At 38.1% G+C, this 21,523-nt stretch overlaps 1 long non-coding RNA gene across 1 annotated transcript in view; it reads right to left on the bottom strand.

Moving 5' to 3' along the window:
• Positions 1 to 560: 560 nt before the first annotated feature.
• Positions 561 to 21,523, bottom strand: part of CRAT37 (cervical cancer-associated transcript 37) — a 31,512-nt gene continuing 10,549 nt past the window's right edge. The window contains exons 3-4 of the long non-coding RNA NR_110106.1: positions 5,934 to 6,024; positions 561 to 2,218 (exon numbers count right to left, since the gene is read on the bottom strand). This is a non-coding gene — a long non-coding RNA (cervical cancer-associated transcript 37). The remainder of the gene's footprint in view (positions 2,219 to 5,933; positions 6,025 to 21,523) is intronic.

The raw sequence follows: 21,523 nt of genomic DNA, 5'->3' as shown, positions 1-21,523 counted from the left end.
TAGGGTACATGTGCACAACATGCAGGTTTATTACATATGTATACATGTGCCAAGTTGGTGTGCTGCACCCATTAACTCATCATTTAGCATTAGGTATATCTCCTAATGCTATCCCTTCCCCCCTCCCCCCACCCCACAGCAGTCCCTGGTATGTGATGTTCCCCTTCCTGACTCCATATGTTTCTTCATGACGACATTGTTTTGTACTTTTTTCAGGATTAGAATATTAATTCTAATTAATACAGAAAGTTGTAAGTTGAATATTTACAACTTGCAATTTTTTTCACTGGATCCTAGGTTATTATATACTATATTTATATGGGGAAATTGTATGGTTTCTCCTACAAGACTGCTTTAAAATTAATATCAATTATTGTATTATATAAAAATGATTTACCTTTTTCCAAAAATATTTTCTTACTTGATAGTGATAAATCATTTCACACTAAGATCAGAAATAAGACAAGGATGTCTTCTGTTATCACTCCTGTTAAACAAAATCCATTGCAATAAAGCAAGAGTAAAAAATGGAGAACAGATTAGAAAAAAATAGCGCTGTGTTATCCAAAAAGACATATTTATCTTCCCAAAGAAACCCACCAAAATGCTCCTAGAATTAATAAATTACTGAGGTTGCAGAATTACAAAAGTCAACCATTTTTCTAGATAGTGGCAATCAACAATTGGATTTCAAAATTTAAAGACAGTATCATTTATAATAGCATCTCCTGCCCCATTGAAATACTTAAATTCTAACAAAACGTGCTCAGGAATTATATACTATAAACTGCAAAACACTGCTCAAATAAATCATGGAAGATCTAATTAAGTATAGAGATATAACATATTCTCGGATTGAAAGGTTCAATGTGGCAAATTTACCAATTCTCCCCAGTACAATCCTAACCAAAATTCCAGCAAGCATTGGGTAGATATCAACAAACTGATTCTAAAAAGCAAAACATGCTAGAATAGCAAAATGATTCTGAAAGAGATTTAAAAAATGGAAGGATTTACACTACCCAATTTCAAGCCTTTTATTTAAAATTTTTTTATTTTTTATTTTTTATTTTTATTTTTATTTTTTTGAGACAAAGTCTCACTCTATTGCCAGGCTGGAGAGCAGTGGTGTGATCTTGGCTCACTGCAACCTCCACCTCCTGGGTTCAAGCAATTCTCCTGCCTCAGCCTCCTGAATAGCTGGGACTACAGGCATGTGCCACCATGCCCAGCTAATTTTTGTATTTTTAGTAGGGATGGGGTTTCACCATGTTGGCCAGGATGGTCTCGATCTCTTGACCTCATGATCTGCCCACCTTGGTCTCCCAAAGTGCTGGGATTATTATAAAGATATAGTAATAAAGACAGTAGCAAAAGGATAGACACATAGATCAATGAAATAGAAGAGAAAGCCCCGAACTAGACCTACATAAATATAGTCAATTGATTTTTACACATTTTGTGTTGTTAACACTTGTAGTGATTGCCCTAGGTTTTATAATATACAATTTTAAATAATCTAAGTCCACCTTCAAATAACAGTGTTGCCACACATGTAATGTAAGATCTTACAACAGTGTTTCCCAATTCTTTCTTCTCATCTTTTGCACTATCATTGTAACTCATCTTACTCTTACATACACCATAACCATATAATATATGGTTATTATTACTTTAAACAGTCAAGTTACTTGTTATAGCAAGAAAATATGATAAAGTATATTTTACAGCGAGAAATATGATAAAGCATATTTCCCTTCATTTATGTCCTGTATGCAGATCTAAGTTCCAAACAAATTCTTTGTTTGAAGAACTACCTTTAATATTTCCAGTAAAGTAGGAAATATTACTGAACTTCCTCAGTTTATGTTGGTACACAAAAGTATTTATTTGTTTTTCACATTTGAAAGATATTTCTCCTGGATGTAGAAATCTGTTTTGACAGTTTTTTTCTTTCAACACTTTAAAAATCTCACTCCGTTGTCTCTGGCTTGCATGGTTTCTGTTGAGACGTCTGCTGTAATTCTTGTCCTTATTCCTCCATAGTTACAGTAGTCCCCCCTTACCGTTGGTTCCACTTTCTGCTATGTCAGTTCCCCATGATAAAGCACAATAAGTTTTGTTGAGCTAACTTTGCTGCTTTAAAGAACACCCTTCATTTTCAGATGATGCACGTCCTTTTCTCCTCCTCTCCCCCCTCCTTTCTTCTTCTCACATCCTTTTAAAAATTAAATTGGGATGATATAAAATGTTAGAATTTATTTGTTATTTTGTTTTGTTTTTTCATATCCTTACTTGAGAAAATACAATTTGACAACCTAAAAAATATATATATATTTGGGGAAAGAAATCACATTTACATAAATTTTATTATAGTATATTGTTATAATTGTTCTATTTTATTATTAGTTATTGTTATCAACCTCTTACTGTGCATAATTTATAAATTAAGCTTTACTGTAGAAATGCATGCATAGGAAAAAATCATAATACATATACTATATATGGGGTTTGGTGCTAGCTACAGGTTCAGAGATCCACTGAGGGTCTTTGAAGGTATCCCTCACAGAAAAGGGGGGACTACATTAATGTGCGTTTTCCTCTGGTTCCATTCAAGATTTTTATTTTGTTTTTGGTTTTCAGCAGTTTAAATATGCCTATGTGTGTTGTTTGGTTTTGTTCTTGCATTATCCTATTTAGTGTTCTCTGAGATTCCTGGATCTGTGGTTTGGTATCTGCCACTAACTTGGAACAACTCTCAGCCATTATTTCTTCAAATATTTATTCTGCCTCATTCTTTTTTACTTTCCATCTGGTATTCCCAATAGGCACATGTGAGAAAGTTGTAATTGTCCCACGACTTTTCGATGCTTTTTTTGTTGTTGTTACTGTGTTATTTCCTAACTTTTTCCTTTTGGCATTTTAGTTAGGGTAATTTCTATTGACCTATCTTCAAGTTGACTGATCTTTGCTTTGGCCATGTCGAAAGCATTCTTTACTTCTGTTATTGTGTTTGGTTTTTAATGATATATCACAGTTGTACATATTTTGGGGGTACATATGATATTTTGATATATGTATACGATGCATAATGATCAAATTAGCATAATTGGGATATTCGTCACTTCAAACATTTATCTTTCCTTTGTGTTGGGAACATTACAATTCTTCTCTTCTAGCTACTTTGAAATGCATAATATATTAACTGCAGTGTCCCTACTGTACTATCAAATACTAGAATGTATTCCTTCTATCTAACTGTATTTTTGTACCCATTAATCACTCTCTCTTCATCCATTTCTAGTGCTGTCATTAGTGCTCTCTTACAGCTTTCATCTCTCCACTGAAATTACCTGTCTGATCTTGTATATTGTCTATCTTTTTAACAGAGACTTTAACATATTAATTATAGTTCTATTAAATTCCCCATCCATTAATCCTATTATCTGTGTCATACCTGAGCTTCGTTCTGATGATAGTTTATCTTGTCACAGTGTATTTTTATTGCCATTTGATAAGGCTTATAAATTGTTGGAAGCTAGACATATTATATATGACAGCAAATACTGAGATAAGCACTTTTGAGAGATGAGCGTGCATTTGCTTAAACTAGGCTCTAGTATGAGGGTTCGTGTTAACCTAGTCAGGAGCTGAGCTGTGTTTGAAGTTCATTGTTGCTATAGTTACCAGACTTGGAGTTTATTGTTGATAATGGACACCAGAGACTCCCAGTCCTTCCAGTGATACTTTATTTTTGTCTCTCTGATTGGCTTTGGGTATTTGCTTTGTACTGCTCACCAGAAATACTTTGCCTCTTACAGCTGTCCATGCAAACTTCCCTATTATATTTTTACATGAGCTGGTTAGCATGCTGGTCATGTCGTGTTGGGGAGGAGAACAGCCTCTGACTCAGCATCAGACTTGAGCAGCTACTGGGAACCTAGTTTCAGGGGGGTGGCCTTCACAAGAGTTTCTGTCCTTCCTCCAAAAGTAGAACCTCTTTTGCTCCTGTCCCCACTCCTCAGCTGCAGTTGGTATCTGCCAGCATCCTCAGGCTATGGTTTTAACACCCTGTCCCCTGCAGAATGTGGCTTTTATTTTTTAGCTTAAGGGCAATAAAGAGATGTGTCTGGGCAGAGGTTTGGTGATTGTCTCTATCCTGCCCCCACTCAAGCTGCAATGAGATTCCACCACAGACTTGGCTACAAGCCTCGATAACCTTTCCCTGCAGACTAAACTTTTTGTTATATAGGAGAGATGGGAGACGGGCCTGCCTGAATTTCACATTGGCTGCTGCTGTTTTCATCCCCTAACAACAAGCACCAGAGTTGGAAAGGCGACAGGGAGTTTTCCCTGAATCCTACCCCATCCTCCCTGTGAGTTACTGGAGAAAAGGCCTACACAGGGTAAAAACCTTCTGTATCTGCCTATATCTGCTGCCCTCAAGGGCTTTACCCTCTTCCTCTAGCCCACACTCAGGTTTTAGCAGTTTATTAAAAATTTCTGTTATTCTTAATCCATTGCTCCTTCTATAACAGAATACCTGAGACTGGGTAATTTATAAAGAACAGAAATGTATCTCTCACAGTTCTGGAGGCTGGAAGTCTAAGATCAAAGTACCTGCAGGTTGGGTGTCTCGTGAGGGCTATCTCTGCTTCCAAGATGACCCCTGTTGCTGAATCCTCTGGAGGAGACAACACTGTGTCCTCACATGGCAGAAGAAACAGAGGGCAAGAGAGCCTTACTAGTTTCCTTGAGGTTTTTCTTAAAGGCACTAATGACCTCCTAACGGCGCCACCTCCTAATAGTATCACATTGGTCATGAAGTTTTAATGTATGAATTTTAAGGGGATACATTCTGACCACAACATAGTTTAGTCTCCTAATCTGTTTATATGGCATCCATGGTTGTGTGCCCCAGGCACACATAGGCTTGGGTCCTATTTCACTCCGTAGGCCCCTTTATCTCTCCAGAATTCAATTTAGTTGCCCGCTCTGTCATCTCTCATGTTTTTAAGAAAAGTTAATTTTCCATTTTCCTAGCTTTTTCTTCTTGTAGGATTGAAGTGACTTTTTTTTCAAGCTGTCTACATCTCCAGACAAAAACCAGAAGCCAGGTCAATTGATTTTTGACAAGTTGCAAAGGTAATTTAATGGAGAAAGGATAGGTTTTTCAATAAATAGGACTGGGACCAGTGGGGATCTATATGCAAAATGTGAACCTTGATACATACCTCACAACTTTACAGAAATGAACTCAAAATAGATTGTAGACCTAAATATAAAATGTAAGAAAATAAAACTTCTCATAGGAAAACACAGGCAAAAAAAAATGTATGCCCTTTGTTTTGGCAGTGAGCGTTTAGGTAGGACACTAAAGCATGATTCGTAAAGAAAAAATTACAAATTAGACTTTATTAAAATTAAATATGTTGCTCTACAAAGATATGCAGATGACAAAATAGGCACATGAATATGTGCTCAACATCACAGGTATTAGGAAAAAGCAATCTGAAACCATGAGATACTATTACATACATATTAGAATCACTAAAATAAAGAAAACTGATGATACTGAGCACTAAGGAGGATGCAGAGCTACAGGAACTCCCATTCATTGCTGGGAGAATGAACAATTATACAGCCACACTGGAAGTTTGACAGTTTAACTTTTTCAGCATACTCTTGCCGTACAACCCAGCAATGCCCCCCTTAGGTATTTACTTTGTTTACCAAAGTGAATCAAAAATGTATATCCATACTACCACTTGCACTCAAATGTTTATAGTAGGTTTATTCATAATCACCAAAAACTGCAAACAACCCAGGTATCATTCAATGCATTAATGGATAAACAAACTCTAGTACATTTACTCAGTAATAAAAGAACAATTGATATACAATTGTCTAGCAAGTACATGAAGTGAACAAACCTTGAATGCATTCTGTTCAGTCAAAGAAGCCAGACTCAAAAGGCTGCCTATCGTGTGATTCCATTTATATGATATTCTGGAAAAGACAGAGCTATAGATATGGAAAAAAAAAAAATGATCAGTGGATGGGGGAGGGAGGATTGACTACAAATGGCCACACAAGGAAATTTTCAGGAAGATTAAACTATTAACATTAGGAGAAGCTTGGTTATGGGTATACAGAACTCTCTGAACTATCTTTGCAATTCTTTGGTAAATCTAAAATTGATTTTTTAAAAAAAGTTTGAAAACAAACAGTGAGTCTTAGCTCTGTAACTGATGAGAAATAAAATAGAATTTTTTTTCACATAACAGACTGAATTGTAGAATGAGAAACTCAAAAGACGGCTAGCTTAACTAACTTATACCTTAAAATTTACAGAGCATTAAAGCATTAATTGCCAGTTTTTAAGAACTCATCATGATTCATGATCTATTTAAATAACAGGAAGAAATAAGGAACAAAGTATCTTTTGAAAAATGAAATAAAAGTAAACATAGGAACATGGATATTTATTCTAGAACCAGAAAATTGTTTTGCATGAAAAGGGTAACACTGTTCACTAATTCTCATATCAGTTTACTTCAACAGCGTACAAATCTAGAGAACTTAAAATAGTCTGATTTTTTCTTGTAGGTTAAGTGAATAAAATAATCAAGCGCTCTGAAAATAAAAATTTGGGATGTGTTGTAACTTGCGTATGTTGACAAATATGTTACATTATTTCTGTAATCAATGTGTCCCATTCAACCAGGCTAGGAAACACAATGAGGTTAAAGTTATTTTAAAATTCAAATGAAATGACTCATTCTTTGCAGCCTGTTGGGCCCCATTTCTTGTTGAGAGAAGGTTTTTCTTGCCTCTCTGGGCTCCTTCTGGGTGTGATATTAGGTTGGTGAAAACATAATTGCGGGTTTTGCATTGTTGAAATCTGCTATTTGATATTGGGATACATTCTTAAATAAGTGTGGTTATGTTATATGTCATTTTAATGGGCATTTCTCACTTTATGTTTTTTTTTTGCTAATGACTTATTAATTGCTGTTTATTTTATATTTATTTTAGTCTATGGAAATGATGTTAGGCAAAAAGCAAATTCGAGCAATTTTCTTATTCGAGTTTGAAATGGGTCATAAAGCAATGGAGACAACTCACGACCATCAACGACACATTTGGTCTAGGAACTGCTAACAAACGTACAGTGGAGTGGTGGTTCAAGAGGTTTTGCAAAGGAGACGAGAGCCTTGAAGATGAAGAGCTAGTGGCCAGCCATTGGAAGTTGACAAGGACCAATTGAGAGTAATCATTGAAGCTGATCCTCTTACAATTACACGAGAAGTTGCTGAAGCAATCAACGTGGACCATTCTATGGTCCTTTGGCATTTGAAGCAAATTGGAAAGGTGAAAAAGCTTGATAAGTGGGTGCCTCATAAGTTAAGCAAAAATAAAAAAATTGGCGTTTTGAAGTGTCATCTTCTCTTATGCTACACAACGACACGAACCATTTCTTGATTGGATTGTGACGTGTGAAAAAAAGTGGCTTTAACACAACAACCGGCAAAGACCACCTCAGTAGTTGGACTGAGAAGAGGCTCCAAAGCACTTCCCAAAGCCAAACTTGCAGGAAAAATAGGTCATGCTCCCTGTTTGGTGGTCTGCTGCCTGTCTGATCCACTACAACTTTCTGAATCCTGGCAAAACCATCACATCTGAGAAGTATGCTCAGCAAATCAATGAGATGCACCAAAAATTGCAACGCCTACAGTAGGCACTGGTCAACAGAGAGGGCCCAATTCTTTTCCATGACAACACCTGACCATACATCACACAACCAATGCTTCAAAACTTGAATGAATTGGGCTACAAAGTTTTGCCTCATCCACCATATCACCTGACCTCTCGCCAACCAACTACCACTTCTTCAAGCATCTCAACAACTTTTTGCAGGGAAAATGCTTCCACAACCAGCAGGATGCAGAAAATGCTTTCCAAGAGTTGGTCAAATCCCAAAGCATAGATTTTTATGCTACAGGAATAAACAAACATACTTCTCTTTGGCAAAAATGTGTTGACTGTAATGGTTCCTATTTTGATTAATAAAGATGTGTTTGAGCCTAGTTATAATGATTTAAAATTCACAGTCCAAAAGTACAATTACTTTTGCACCAACCTAATACCTCTCAGTCCTGCAGCCTTTCTCCATCCTAAGTCCTATGACCTTTAAAAGAGGAAACTAGACACCTGTGCCACCTGCCCAGGAGTTGATTGATTTTCAGCTCTGGTTGCTGTCACTGTCAACTAGTGCCCTTCTTGAAACAGGTAATACAACCACTCTGGTGCCATTCTTGTTCCCTGGTTAACAGTCTAAGTCAGTGGTTCTCCACAAGCAGCCCCCTGGCCAGCAGCATCACCACCACCTGCAAGCTTCTTCCAAATACAATTTCCTGACCCCCATTCCAAGACCTACTGAGTCAGAAATTACCTGGTAGAGCCCAGTCACCTGTTTCATCAAGGCCCCCAAGTAATTCTGATGCACACCATGCTACAGTCGAAGAACCACTGACCTCTGGTGACCTGGACACAGGCACATACAAAACATTAAGGACCCAGAGGTCAGGCCTGAAACAAAGGCCTTCAGGGGCCAGGGCTTCCCCTGCACTGCTGGTCTGCCACTGCACTCTCTGGCTATGGAAATAAAAGAGAAAACTGGTCTCTCCTTCAAAATCAAGTTTAACTATGGTAGCTCCACATCATGGTAGGCTTGCTCTTGCCATATGGTTCTTTTGTTACACACACACACACACACACACACACACACACACACGCAGAGTAACTTCCCCCAAAAAATGCCATTAAGCTAACATCAAGGGATCCAGAGGGTTTGTTGTTTTATTTGAGACAAGGTCTCAATCTGTCACCCACGCTGGAGTGCAGTGGTGTAATCACAGCTCACTATAGCCTCCACCTCCTGGGCTCAGGTGATCCTCCCACCTCAGCCTCCCAAGTAGCTGGGACTACAAGTGTGTGCCACCACACCCAGCTAGCTTTTTTGTATTTTTTGTAGAGATGAGGTTTTATCCTGTTGGTCAGTCTGCTCTCGAACTCCTGGGCTCAAGTGGTTCTCCTGCCTCAGCTTCCCAGAGTGTTGGGATTACAGGTGTAAGCCACCTTCCCTGGCCAGTTTTGTCTTAAAAAAACACACACACAAAAAAAACAAACAACAACAACAACAACCACAACAACAACAAAACACAGGCTGTGCCTAGAACTCCCCTCTCTGTCAATCTCACCATCCGAAGAATAGATTCAGTAACCCAACTTGAACCCCAAGGTCCATCCTGAATTTCTCTCCCAGAGAAGTGACTCCCAGGCTGGAAAATTCTCTGAATTTCTCTGAAAATATATGTACACATTTTAAACTATTTTTTTTCTTACAACTTAGAAAAATGTCAATAAAAAAATTGGCACTGCTTTCTGGCCACTACAATGTTACTATCTGGTGTTGTTTGAGAAGTAGCAACACGGAAGCAGCTTTCCGATTTCATACTGAAATTCTGAAATTAGAGCACAACCCATCTCAAAGCCAGAAGGGCCGCATATGAACTGTGGGCTCACCTCTCATTGCTCATCATCACTCTGCTGTAAAGACAAAGCGACACCACAGCAGGTGGCCTCTGTTTTTCATGGCAAAAAGCCATGGGGAGCCTCTGACATCCTGGGTAAACTGAGGTCACTAAAGCACCCATCTAGGGGAGTAGTGCTTTCAGGAGCTTCCCTGGTGATCAGCACATACCACATTATAATTTCAGTGAATGATTTTGTGAGCCACAGGCCCCAGCCCTCTCCTGTTTCAAGTCAGACGAATATAATAGCATCTTGCACGGCCCAGCACGTTGAAGCTTAGCACATCCCCGTGCTAAGTCCAGCCCACGGAACCATGAGCCAGAAAGTCTGGGTTCAACACCTACCTCTCTACTTGTGTTCTCTTCCTCAAATCACTCAACCTTTCTCACTCTGCTTCCTCATTTAGTGAGAGTGGTGATGCCTCTGTGGCTGGGCAATGGTGAGGATAAATGAACGATGTGGAAGAAGGTCTTGGTGAGTACTGAGGTGCTGTATATATGTAAGAATTGATCATTACTCCTCAAGAGCAAAGAGCATGCTGTCTATCGTGTCTTGACTGGGCATGGTCAGAGGTCCCAAGCCCCGTATTGTTCACATCCATTAAAGATCCTCTTGTGATTTGGCCTCCTGGTGATGATATAGGAGTTAAGAAGAAATTACTTAGGCAGATAGCAAGGGAATGGGAGTCCTCAGTAAGGCTTTTCTTTTTAATGAAAAGCAGCCCCAAATCATTTTCTAACAAAGAGCAGCCTGCAAGCTGGGAGCTTGCACGGGTGAATGCCGGCAGAAACTGAGGACCAGACATTTTCAAAATGGGGGCTCCACCGTCCCTTCTCTCCCAGCCACGTGTACTGTAAAGGAGCAGACAAGATGTCCCCATCAACCGGAAAGCCCATTTGCATTAGATTAGGGTGAGGCAACAAGCCTTCCTGACTAGATGCCATACCTGACCGAACCAATCTGTAAATCAGACACCACCTTCTGCAGCCTGCCTACAAAATCTGCTGTGGTTCACTGCCTCCCCCCTTTTTCAGATGTCTCTCTGTCTCTCTCTCAAGGAGATGCTCTCCTCTCTCCTTTCTTCTATTAAACTTTCCACTCCTTAACCCACCCACATGTGTCTGTGTCCTGAATTCTTTCTCAGCGTGCGACAGTGAACCCCAGGGTATATACCCCAGACGGCGTAGCCACTTCCCTGGAGACTGGTACTCTTATGTGAAAGGTCGACGTTCAGATTGTTTCAGTGATGCTTGTTCCTGAATTGGTTGCTGTCTCCTCGCTCATTTGAGTCTCTTGGCTAAGAACACATTTACTTTCACTCCACCTGCAACCCAGGACTCCAGCAGCATCCCCTGCATTGCCTATTCACTGGGGGATTCCCACCTAGAAGATGGCATAGCAGTGAGGCTTCCACTGCCTCTCCCTGCTTCTCTGCCCTTCTCCAAGCTGTCCTTAGCTCTCTGGAGCCTCAGACAACAGAAGAGAGGATTAAACACTTAGAATTATCCCTTCTAATCTCCACCTGTCCATTAAATCCCTCTGTGCCTCTTGGGCCACTGACTCAGCTTCTCTGGGCTTCAGGTCTCAAAACTGATTAGAGATAATGTCACCAGTGAACATTCTCAGGACTTTGTAAAGTTGAACTTATAAAATGTAGAGCATGTAAGATGCCAAGGGCCTTAAGAGGGCTGCAGAAATCTGGCCAGTGGAATTTGTAGCATGCCAAATTCAAACTCACTTCTTGAGCATTTTATGTGTACAGCAAAACATTACATGTTTTCAGCCTCAAATCAAAATCTGAACATTTCTTCCTGGAAGTCCTAGCCAGAGCAATCAGGCCAAAGAAATAAAGGGCATCCAAATTGGAAAAGAGGGAGTCAAACTATCTCTGCCAATGATATGATCTTATACCTAAAAACCCTAGTGACTCCTCCACATGACTCCTAGATTTGATAAATGAATTTAGCAAAGTCTCAAGTTACAAAATCAACGTACACAAATCAGTAGCACTGCTATACACCAACAATGACCCAGCTGAGAATCAAATCAAAAACTCAATCCCTTTTACAATAGCCACAAGAAAATAAAATTCCTAAGAATATACTTAACCAAGTAGGTGAAAGAACTATAAAATACTGCTGAGAGAAATAACGGATGACACAAGCAAATGGAAATATGTCCCATGCTCATGGACTGAAAGAATTAATATCATGAAAATGACCATACTTCCCAAAACAATTTACAGATTCAGTGCAATTCCTATCAAAATACCAATGTCGATTTTCACAGAATTAGAAAAATTAATCATAAAATTCATGTGAAACCAAAAAGAGCACAAATAGCCAAAGCAATCCTAAGCAAAAATAAGAAATCTGGAGGCATTATATTAGCTGACTTCAAATTATATTGTAAGGCTATAGTAATCAAAAGAGTATGCTATTGGTATAAAGGTAGATGCATAGACTATGAAATACTTCTCAGCCATAAAAAGAATGAAATAATATCTTTTGTAACAACTAGAATAGAACTGGAGGCAATTATTCATTTTTTTGACATTTAAAAAATATTTAATCCACAAAATAACAAACTCATTGCATATAAACACACAATTGTCTTCATGAAAAATAACCATGCTTTTTGACCAAGTGCTCACAATCACCCATTACTTATCCACAGAACTTTCATTGACCAAATTTTAATCAGGCTTCTCTCCTCCCCATGGGCCCCTAAACTTCGGCTTGCCCCTAAGTTTCAGCAAGCCCTAAAGCACTAAGGTGTGAAACATCCTCCCTTAAAAGCTCCTTCTGAGAACTGGCTAACCACAAACAAAACATTTCTTGTTGAAGTACCTGATTTCACCACCTGTTCACCTGCCTGCTTGCCCTCCTCCACCACATAGTCCCTGTCATCTCTGCTTACTCTTCCCTATATACAAAAAAACATAACAAAACAAAACAAAAAAAACCTTTTTTCTGTTTGATTTTAAGACACTTGCCAATCCTGAGGTCAAAGTGTTCTCCTTATTGCAATCATCTTTCCAAATAAAGTCTCTCCTTATCTAAGTCTGGTGTTGTTTCTATTTGGCATTTTTAAAATTTATTTTACTTTAAGTCTGGAATACAAGTGCAGGACATATAGGTTTGTTACATAATGGAGGCCATTATTCTAAGTGAATTAACCCAGGAATGGAAAACGAAATACCATATGTTCTCACTTATAAGTGGGTGCTAAGCCATGGGTACACAAAGGCACACAGAGCGGTATAATGGACATTGGAGACTCAGAAGTGGGGAGGATGGGAGGGAGGCGAGGAATGAAAAACTACCTTTTGAGTACAATGTACACTACTCAGGTGATGGGTACACTAAAATCCCAGATTTCACCACTAAACAATTCACTGACATAACCAAAAATCACTTGTACCCCTAAAGTTATTGAAATAAAAAATCTAAAAAATTAAATATTTCTTCCTTTTACATTTTCTCACGGCATTTGATCTATAGGATAGATGAAACCACATCTATTTGAACAGCTATGAAAATGAGATCATATTTATTTGAACATTTGTAAGCAACAATGAGGTTATACTTATGTAAGTACTCAAATATTATTTGGGCAGCATCTCGGTGTAGCTGCTCAGGATTCAAAGATGAATGAGAAACATTCACCACAAATGAGGAATTAGCCAGATGGTGGTGGAAACAGGTTGTTATGAACTGAATGTGACTCCTCCCAAAATTCATTTGTTGTAGCCCTAACCCCCAAAGTGATGATATTTGAATGTGGGGTCTTTGGGAGGTGATTAGGTTGAGATGATGTCGTGAGAGTAGGGCCCGCGTGATGAGGTTAGTGTCCTTATGAGAGGCAGAAGAGACCAAAGCTCTCTCTCTCCCATATCGTGTGAGCACATGCCAAGGAGATGGTGCTCTGCAAGCCAGGAGGAAGGCCCTCACCAAGAACCCAACTACATGAGCACCTTGGTCTTGGACTTCCAGCCTCTAGAACTGTGAGAAAATAAACTGCCTGATGCTTAAGCCACCCAGTCTGTGTTTTGTTACACAGCCTGAGCAGACTTAACATGCAGTTACATAAAATTTAGTGTATTACTGCATCTGGGTGGACATAGCTATACCTCAGGTATATGTAGAGGCAATGGGAAAACAAAGTAAGGAACAACTTTCTTGCTCAGGGGTGGTCACAAGTAGCTTCATCAAGGAGGTAATATTTAAACTGAGACTTGAATTCATTGATTTATTGACTATTTATTACATATTCATTGAATGTTTACTATGCACTTGGTGCTGTTCTAAGTGGTAAGATTATAGCAGTAAACATATATATTAAACACTTTGTCCTTACACAGTTCACTTCTAGGGGAGGTGAAATCATAATGCAATCAGTTACACAAGGAATGAGATGCTTCAGTCATCTGGAGGGTGAGGTGTCTGAGAGGAATAGTAAGAAACAAGGCATTGTTTCAATGGTAGGAAAGGACCAGATTGCGATGGGCCTTCTTTCAGGCCCTTAGGGTTTATTTTCTTGATGGCAAATTTGCAAAGGTTGTATTTGCTTGATGGTGCTTAGGTTTGTAATGCTGGAGTTATGGCTGCAAGACCTCTTTTCATACTGAAATTCCTTTGGGAAAAGTCATTTGTATTTGCAAGTCTGCAACTGCATCCCAACCCTTGTTCTTTACCAAAACTTTTGTTATAAATGTCACAGTTGTGGAGTTTATTAGGAGTGGAACCCTCACCATAGACCAGGATAAACTGTGCTGTGCACAGTTATTTTAGGACCAAGTAAGCCGAGCTGCATGCTGGTTGTTACACCACCAGACTGTGAGCCTAAGAGCAGAAACTGTTTCATAAATTGATCATTGAATTGTAGGCATGAAGCCTGATGCCTGGTACATAGTAGCTGATCAACAATTAGCATAAAATATATTAGGGAGTTTGCCAATTCTGTTGCATGTGATAATTATTCCATTTCAGTACAGCTGTTTACTTTTATTAATTTTAAATATACTGTATACCAGCAATGTTCTAGAAATCATTTTAGGTAACCACTCTACTTTCAAGAAAAGCATGTAAAACATAAAGCATGATCCCTATAGTATTAATCTCACCCATGCCTTCTGTCTCCTGCTTACACAGAAATTTCCGTTCATTAAGACTACAGGGCTCCCCGTGGGAGAGTTTATGCTGACAACTAAGATTTTAGAATCCAATAAAAGAGATAACAATCTCAAATGAAACTAAAAAACTGTACAAATGAAAACACATATTTAAAAAGTAGCTTGAATGACCACTTAGAACAGGGGCCCGTGCAGCCCAGGCTTGGACTGGAGTCACTCTCGCAGACCAGCCATGAAAAATATTAACACATGGCCAGACATGTCTCCCATTTTCAGGTGAATCTGAAAGGGGATGCAATGAATAACCACAGCAGTGCCTCTCACTACTCTCTTCCCCTTGCCTCTTCCTCCCCATCTTTGTCTCCTGGCTCAGTGACCCCAAGGTTTCCCCACCCCTTTTCCCATGATCTCCCCAAATCCCCCCCCAGCCCACCAGTGCCTTGTTTTTGGCCTCTTGCAGCTTTCTTCCCATCTTTATTGTTTTTCCCCACAGATAATTTCTGTTCTTTCCAAAGCAACGCTCACCCTCACATTTCCAGTTTTGTCTTTACCTCCCCATTGCTCCAGTTACTGCAGCCAGAGTCCAGACACCAGACTGTGAGGCCCAGCATCTAAGGTGGCAGCTGCAGAGGGCCCCTGGCTTGAGGTCCAAGCAGGATTCTCTTCATTGTGCAGAGAAGAGGTAAAGATAACAAACACTTGTCATAGAAAACATTTTCCTTTAGCCCTATCACCTATGCAGAGCTGTTTTACTTGCTGAAACTGTCCCAATATCTATTGGAAGAAAATTTTTTAAAAAATTACCTTTTTAAAAAAATATTGTCACTCCTTAAAAGATGCTCTCCAAATAAGGCATAACTGTAATGAAATCCAAACACCAAAACTGATGTGAGACCAAATAAACATAGAGGCAGGGGGAATTCTGAGCCAAGAACAAGGAAGCTAAGAAAAGGAAAGGTGGTTGAAAATAAGGCCCGGAGGTCAGGGAGGCCCAGGTTCATATCCTGAACCCAGAACTTAACATGGGTGGGATTTGGGACTTGTCATGCAATAGTGCTAAAAGCCTCTGTGTCTTTGCTGTAAAAATAATAGAGTAATCTTAAACTGTTAAAGGCATGAAAGAGAAAGTGGTTAGCAAAGAGTTCAGTCCACACTAAGTGCTCCTTGAATGTTAGTTATTATGATGATCGTGTGTATTATACTCAAACCTCAACTCTAGGCCTGTTTATTTCCAGAACATCAGGTTTTGCATGCATTAATGTTATAGAGTGTTTCGTATTTTTTGTGAGACCTTCAATTCTTATTTTAAAGTTTCTTATTTTTCCCCATTGTTTTATGCTTAGATATCATAGCTTATTCTACAATGTATTCTTGGAGTTTTCTATAAGCCTTAAAACAACTGAGATGATTTCAAGTTGCCATCTAGCGGAATACCATATATGAGGTTATTGTCATATGAGCACATACATCCACACACACACACACAAACACTTAGGTACATATGTGTGTATGTGTGTGTATTCTTTAAGCCTTAGTTTGCATTATTAAGTCACCAGCTTCCAGCCAGTTCTCTGACAGTGTCATCACGACAGACAGGCTGAGCTAAGTCCTTTCTAAGGGTGTGCTGGAGGATTTCATATACATTTTTCTATTTATAAAACACTAGTGAAACAATAAGCTATACTCCAGGCAGCCTGAGGAAGTCTTATGAAATTGTTATGATTTGTTTGTGAGATAGAGGACAAATTCCATGGTAATCTTCACCGAATTTTAATAAGGGTGAAAGGAAGACTTAATTAAGGAGTTCTTTGTGGCTTTTTTAAAAAAAAAAAACACAGCCTCTGCAAGCACTTCCCCATGGCGTCTTATCGCTATAGTACAGACACAGTTGCATCTTTATCGTGTGCGGCAGGGGCTGAGGCACAGAGACACATAAAAATAATGGCAATGCATTTATTTTTAAGGACACAACACTGTCTGCTTTTCTTTCAGGCATCCAACTTCTGTGCTTAGATGTCAGTTCCTGTGTTGAAGCATGGGTCCTATCTAACCAGTTTTCTGAGAATCACGGCCATTGCACTTTATAGTAGTTTCCAGAGGATAAATTTTTCTAACTGCGGTTAGGGCGGGGTTGTAAAATAGCATATTTTTGTTTTAAAAATTCGAATGGGGCCTAAAGAGTATTTAAGAGAGTTTAACTCCTGTTGCGACTTCTTCAGCTACTTACCCCTTGGTTGCAACCAGTATAAAAGCTGTGCAACTTGGATGTTCAATGACAAGAACTTGGTTTTAAAAAATTAGGGTACATCCCAGCCGGGCGCGGTGGCTCACACCTGTAATCCCAGCACTTTGGGAGGCCGAGGTGGGCGGATCACGTGGTCAGGAGATCGAGACCATCCTGGCTAACACAGTGAAACCCCGTCTCTACTAAAAATACAAAAAAAAATTAGCCGGGCGTGGTGGCGGGCGCCTGTAGTCCCAGCTACTCCAGAGGCTGAGGCAGGAGAATGGCGTGAACCCGGGAGGCGGAGACTGCAGTAAGCCGAGATCGCGCCACTGCACTCCAGCCTGGGCAACAAAGCGAGACTCCGTCTCAAAAAAAAAAAAAAAAAAAAAAAATTAGGGTACATCCATATGAAGGGATGTTTGCCTTTTTTGTGCAATTTTGAAAAGTGATCTTGGAGAAGAATGTATATTACCATGAAAATAAGTCCACTAAGTGAAAAGAAAAAAAAAAATACAAAGCCACATGGACTACATGATCTAATTTTGCTTAAAACACAAATCAACAGAAGTGATGCGGAAATGTTAGTATTATGGGTGATTTTTACTTTCTTCTTATCTGCATATTTTGTATTATCTACAATGAAAAGGCATTCATTTTGTACTTATTACAAAAAAATCTTTAAAATGCAAGCTATGGTTGTGGTTGTAGAGAAGATGGATTCAAGACACACCACCCTGTCTCTCTCACTGAACGCACCTATAATGCTTGAATAGAATGCAAGAAAGAACTATCTGATGACTGTAACACATGGATGATAACAGGTGGATGGAGAAAGAGAACAGACTTTGAAGTCTGCCTGAACCAGTGGTGAGTTTACCATTTTTTCCCTTCAGTATCATCCATCCTGAAATCAAAGGCATCCTGAAGCCCAGAAATCCACACCAAGTGTGGACAGAAAGGCCACAGGGAGAAGACTTCTCTTGTTCTTGTCTCCCACAGCGATGCCCAAGCAACACTCCAGTGGCACTGGCAGCAGCATTGACAGCAATGACAGCAGTCGTGCACCTAAAACTCTGAGGAAAGGGAACTCTTCTCCCTTATCAAAAAGAACTGTGGTCCTTTGAATTTTCAGTGGATACACATTGCTATATGTGTTTTGCCTCTGTCTCCTCCTGTCACTTGGTCCTAGACGTAGGCACAGTTGCAGTAAGTTTGCATGATATTGGGGAAAATAGAACTCTAGATTTCTAGCCAGAGAACTGAGAAGAGAGGACGCAGGGAATAAGTGTACATTGGTGAAATCACAGAGAGGACAGGGATCAAGAGCGTGACGCCATAAAGTTGTGTATGAACTCCTGAGTGCGCCTCCTACCTGTGCATTTGTCAATCTGAACCTTATCAGCATATCACAGGCTTTGAGAATTGAGCTACGGGGCCACAGACTAGCCACTGGGACTGTTCTCAGCAACAGTGAAAATACTTTGAAAATGGAATTATGCCAGACTCAGAGAAGGCAGGTCAGAATTTGCAGACCAAATGTAATCAGGGTGATTGCATGCCAAAACAACAGCAACAAGAATTACAAAGTTAACATTCTCTTTAGCATTTAAATAAGACCCAGGGTCTCATCATGTCCAGAATATAATCCAAAATTAATTGGCATACAAATAATCAGGAATATCTCATCACAATAAAAAATATAATTAACAGACACCAACTCTAAGGTTACATAAAAGTTAGAGTTAACAGACTTCAAAGCAGCTATTATAACCATGTTCCCCAAATTAGATGGTCTAAACATAACAAATAATAGATTTAAAATGTCAGAATGATTAAAAATAAACCCAAATATATACAGGTACTCCCTTTAAGAAACCCTTTTTATATAGGTGGGTTAAAAGTGAAAGGAAGGACTAAGATATAAAATGTGTACATTAATCAAAAGAAAAGTGGAGTGTCTACATTAATATCAGATGAAGTAGATTTCAGAACAAGGAAAATTACCAGGGATAAACAGAACATAACATAATGGTAAAAGAGTCAATTCATCAAGAACTCCTAATAATCCTAAATGTATATGCACTTAACAACAAAGCCTCAAGCTAAGTGAAGCAAAAACCAATAGACCTGAAGGAAAAGAATGAAGCCACAGTTATAATGGAAGACTTCAACACTCCTTCTTCAGACATAAGTCAAACAAGTAGTGAAAATCATCATGAATACAGACAACTGAACATTGTCATAAACTAACTGCATCTAACTAAAATTTATAGAACATCCCACCCAACAACAGCATAATACACAGTGTTTTCAAGTACACACGAAACATTTCCCAAGGTGGACTATTATTGTATCATAAGACAAATGTTAACAAAAGAATTTGACCGTTTGACTATTGAACACAATAGAATTAAACTAGAAATTACTAAGAGAAATATAACTGAAAAATTTTCAAACACTTGGAAATTAAATAATATGCTTAAATAATCTATGGGCCAAAAAGAAGACTCCAGGGAAATTAGAAAATATTTTGAACTGAATGAAATAAAAATACAAAATATTAAAATTTGTGAGATTCAAACAAAACAATGCTTGGAGAAAAATTTACAGAATTAACTGCTAATTTTTTTAAAAAAGAAATGTTCTAAGTTGATAAACTAAAAAAAAAACAAAATAAGCTAAAAGCAAATGGAAATAATAAAAATAAAAGCAGTAATCAATGTAATAAAAAATGCAAAATCAATAAAAAAATTTAATGAAACCAAAAGCTAATTCTCGAAAAGATGAATAAGACTGATAAACCTCAATCCAGACTGACAAACAGAAAATGAGAGAAAACACAAGAGATTATCACTGCAGACTCCATATACGTTAAAAAGGATAACAAGGGTATAGTACAAACAACTCTATGCACATAAATTCAATAACTCAGATAAAACGCATGGATTCTTTGAAAGCCACAAACTACCAAAACTCACCCAACAGGCAACAAATAAACTGAATTATCCCAAATCTATTAAATGAAGTGAATTCTTAGATAAAAAGCTATCCAAAGAAGAAATCTCCAGGCCTGTTTGCTTTTGCAGCTAAATTCTATCAAATATTTGAAGAATTGACATCAATTCTACATAATCACCTCCAGAAAAGAGAAGAAATGAGAACATTCCTCCCCATCCATTTTATAATGTCAGTATTACCTGGATACCCAAGCCAAATAAAGGCAATATAAGAAAATTTCAGACAAATATTCCTGATGAATATAAATGCAAACATCTTCAATAAAATATCAAATTAAATATATAATACACATGATTAAATATATAACAAATACTAATACACCATAACTAAATAGACTTTGTCCTGTGACTACAATTGTATTAATAGTTCAATATTCAAACATCAGTAAATGTTATTCACCATATTAAGAGACTATAGGAGATAAAACACATGATCATATCAATTGATGCAGAGAAAGAAAAGGAAAATTACAAACTTCAACATCTGTTTGCAAATTTTTTTAACTCAAAAAACTAGGAATAGAACAGCACTTCCTTAACCTGGTAAAGAGCATGTCAGCTAACATCATACTTAATAGTGAAAGTCTTAATGCTTCTCCCTAAGATGAGGTACAAGGCAAGGATGTCAACTGTTACTACTTCTATTTAACCTCATACTGGAAATCTTAGTGCAATTAAGCAAGAAAGAGAAATGAAGCCAAAGTTTCTTAAATTAATAAGAAATTTCAGGAAGTTTGCAAGATGTAAGATCAACATACAAAATTCATTGTATTTCTATATACTATCACTGAACAATTAGAAACTGAAATTTAAAATAAAACATTTACAACAGCATAAAATATAAAAATATGTTGATATTTTGTGTAAATATAACAAGATGTGCAGAATCCTTACAGGAAAACTATAAAACCCAACTGAAAGAAATCAAAGATATAAATAAAGGAAGAGACATGCTGTGTTGCTAGATAGGAAGATTTAGTATAGTAGAAATGTCATTTAAAAAATTAACCTCCAGTTTTATTGCAATTGCACTCAGAATTCCAATAGAAATTTTTGTAGACACAGATATGCTGATTCTATAATTTACACAGAAAGGCAGAAGAAGGAAGGAGAGTAGCCAAAACAATGCTGAAAATAAAGAGCAGAATTGGAGAACTCACACTATGTTATTTCAAGAATTACTATAAATCTACAGTAACTATAAATCTATAGTGACATGTTTGTGTCTACAGTACAGACTCATACATCAATGGAAAATAATAAACAGTACAGAAACAGACCCATATAAACATGCCCAATAGATTTTTAAGGAATGTGCAAAGGCAATTCAATGGATCAAGGATACTGTTTTCAACAAACGATGTTGAAATCATCAAACATTCCTATGCAAAAAACTGAACCTCTGCCAAAACCCTTAAACGAAAATGAATTGAAAGTGGTTTATAATCTAAATATAAAACAAAACATTTAGAAGAAAACATAGGAGAAATCTTCATGATCTGATGTTACGCAAAGAGTTCTTAGACATGATACCAAAAGCACAGTCTA

This window comes from Homo sapiens, chromosome 15 (assembly GCF_000001405.40).
Source record: "Homo sapiens chromosome 15, GRCh38.p14 Primary Assembly".
NCBI lineage: Eukaryota > Metazoa > Chordata > Mammalia > Primates > Hominidae > Homo > Homo sapiens.
This window is presented reverse-complemented; position numbering and strand designations above follow the sequence as displayed.